At 57.2% G+C, this 563-nt stretch overlaps 1 annotated feature.

Annotated features, from left to right (window-relative positions):
- Positions 229-278: an enhancer, noted in NCBI's record as "active region_14611". NCBI's record gives its function as "activates an Ori minimal core promoter by ATAC-STARR-seq in GM12878 lymphoblastoid cells {active_cell/tissue: GM12878}" and the evidence as "EXISTENCE:reporter gene assay evidence [ECO:0000049][PMID:35858748]".

Genomic DNA, 563 nt, shown 5'->3' on the forward strand with positions numbered 1-563 from the left:
CCAGCCTGGGTGACAGAGCGAGACTCTGTCTCAAAAAAAAGAAAAAAGAAAGTTGATACATGGACCCATCTACCTGGCTCCACGCTAAGAGGTGGTCATGGACCATTGATGACCCAGTGTCCTGAATGTGTCCTGTGCCCAGGGTACGTCCAGAAGCTTCGTGGCAGCACCATTCTGGTGGCCGCCAGGGGGCGCCATGTGCTTGCCAGGCAGCAGTCCTGGAACTGGGGTCCAGCCACAGGGCCCCAGGACCACGCCACAGGGCAAGAGTCCTAGAGTTCCTGGTAGTTTCCAGCTGAACCTATGCACACGGGGTCGTTGGTGGAGGTGGAACTAGATCTCTGCAGAGCACCCTAAAGGGGAGAAACGGGACAGGCCCACACAGGTCTTGGTCTGAACTGGGAGTACCCTGCCCTGAGAGCACTGTGGCTTGGCTGGCCCCAGCTGCTGGAGAGGGACTTAGAGGAAAGTGCCACACAGTGTAGGATGCCCACTTGCCTGGTCCAAGGATGCTCCTGGTGGGTGTGAGAGAAACAGCAAAGTCCAGCATTTCCAGACTTGGA

Source organism: Homo sapiens, chromosome 19, assembly GCF_000001405.40.
Source record: "Homo sapiens chromosome 19, GRCh38.p14 Primary Assembly".
Lineage (NCBI taxonomy): Eukaryota > Metazoa > Chordata > Mammalia > Primates > Hominidae > Homo > Homo sapiens.